Below are 2,613 nucleotides of genomic sequence, written 5' to 3'. Positions count from 1 at the left end.
ACTAGAAATACCATTTGGCCCAGCCATCCCATTACTGAGTATATACCCAAAGGATTATAAATCATGCTGCTATAAAGACACATGCACACATATGTTTATTGTGGCACTATGCGCGATAGCAAAGACTTGGAACCAACCCAAACGTCCATCAATGATAGACTGGATTAAGAAAATATGGCACATATACACTATGGAATACTATGCAGCCATAAAAAAGGATGAGTTCGTGTGTTTTGCAGGGACATGGATGAAGCCGGAAACCATCATTCTGAGCAAACTATCACAAGGACAGAAAACCAAACACAGCATGTTCTCAATCATAGGTGGGAATTGAACAATGAGAACACTCGGACACAGGGTGGGGAACATCACACACCAGGACCTGTGTGGGGTGGGGGAAGTGGGGAGGGATAACATTAGGAGAAATACCTAATGTAAAAGACGAGTTAATGGGTGCAGCACACCAATGTGGCACATGTATACATATGTAACAAACCTGCACGTTGCGCACATGTACCCTAGAACTTAAAGTATAATAATAGTAATAAAAGAAACATAGGAGGCAAGATGTTTTTAGAGAAGCTGGCTTCAAATGAGTAAATAAATGAGGACTCTGAACTTCCTTTGCTGGACACTACTGTATTATTCATCAAATCATGTGAAATGCCTAAATTTAAGGAGCTTCCCAAGGTAAACAATGGCTGAGTCTCCCAACAGGCCATAATACTCAACGAGCAATTCCTTGCTTAGATTTTAAGGTATGTCTACATTGTCCATCAACATTTCTGTGAAAATACTGTTCTATAATTTAGCAGTTCTGATATAATTTTAAATGTCTCTGCTGGAAAAAATAAAAATCTCATTTTTTATTGTGAGCATTGGCAAAGATAGAATGCTGCTCCTAAATTTGAAGCAAACAGAAACCAACCTCACTCAGATGCTTTGTGTATAAATGTGGCTCTCTCTTCCATTCAAATCAGCCTCCTTTAGCGGGTTCGGATTTGATTGGTCCTGCCTGTGATTCAAGAGGACAGTTTCAATCCAGGACTCCAGGATTACGGGTGGAGGGAATCCAACAACTACAAAATAAGTGAGTCAAATATACATGTTTGATCTAATTGTTATTTTAGGTGACATTTGATCTAATAAGACAATGTCCTTCTAAAGTCACACTCTATAACCTCTCCATTAATATAGTTTTCTAGGCTGAAAAGTACCTTCACGCACACATTATTGTCACCATGACTAATGTTAAATTATAATGCTTTAATATATTTATATAAATCCTGTTGTTACATTTACTTGCATATGGAATGTTGTTTAAAAGAAATTGTCATTCCTATTTTTAAACCATATCCCTTATTTATTCAATTGAATACATTTACTTCAAATAGTCCAAAAGACACACAATTTCCCTACAAGATTGCACTTCCTCTGGCAATACTTTAATGTGATATAATTTTGCAGATGCTAAATGTTCTTCTTTTTCCAAGTTTTATCTCTTATTTGAAATTTGACCAACGAGTATTTACTGACACTGTGTATAATTTAACAAGCTGCAGAAATCTTCCAAACAATGTTTTTAATAACAGAAATATTGTCTCAATGATACTTAGCTAGAAAAATAAACAAATGCTTCAAGAAAGTATCTCGAGAAGCATAAATATTTGATGCACACTTAGAAAGTACCAAGAGAATGGCATGCTATCTTAATTTCATTAATTGAATTAAAAAAAGAAAACCCTCAAAAGAACATGATGTACTTTAAAAACTTTTCAATACTACCATATTTTTCCTACAATTTTAATTAATAAAATCTACCAACGCTTTTACTTTTGACAAGAATAACGTATTCCAGCTCGACTTCTCAACATTTGTTTTATATTATTTTCCTGACTAAAGTATTTAGTTGCTATACCTAATCTGTGGCTCATAACATAATTTTGAACAAAAACACAGATAGGAGTTTTTTCAGGGGGACATGTCCTTGAAAATATTTGGAAGATTCTAAAACAGTGTTTGGAAGGGGTTGTTACAGGCATTGATAAAGTTATTAGAGACCCACTATGTTCCAGCCAATTAGGGTATCAGTGAACATGAACCAAGTGGAACTAATATTCCAGCAGTGGGAAACACACTGCCCACAGTGGCAATAACAGACATTCTATACTGCAAGTTAAAGGGTGACTGATGTTATGAAAAACAAAGGGAAGCAAGTCAGCAGACATGTGATCAGAGCCTTGAAGGAGACAGGAGGGAGGAGGATGCTCCAGGCAAAATCGTCCAGGCAAAGCCGTGACCCCAGAGAGAAGTGCACCTGGAGTGGCAGGAAGAGCAGATGCAGGGAGGGGCAGGGAGCTCAGAGAGGAGGGGAGAGAAGTGGATCAGCACGGGCACTGCAGTTCCTGGTAGGCTGTTGGAAAGCACTTGGCTTCCTTCCTTAGGATGAGGTAGGGATGTGGGTATCTAGGAGAAAACATTCTATACAGAGGAAAGCAAAAGGCACAAGCCTGCCTGCGGTGAGCTGAACTGTGTCTCCCGCAAAGGCATGTTCAAGCCCTAATCTCCATTACCTGTGAATGTGACCTTATTTGAAATAGAATCTTTGCAGAT

The sequence above is a fragment of the Homo sapiens genome, chromosome 13, assembly GCF_000001405.40.
Source record: "Homo sapiens chromosome 13, GRCh38.p14 Primary Assembly".
NCBI classification, from domain to species: domain Eukaryota; kingdom Metazoa; phylum Chordata; class Mammalia; order Primates; family Hominidae; genus Homo; species Homo sapiens.
The sequence above is the reverse complement of the archived record's forward strand: the minus strand, read 5'-3'. Positions refer to the sequence as shown.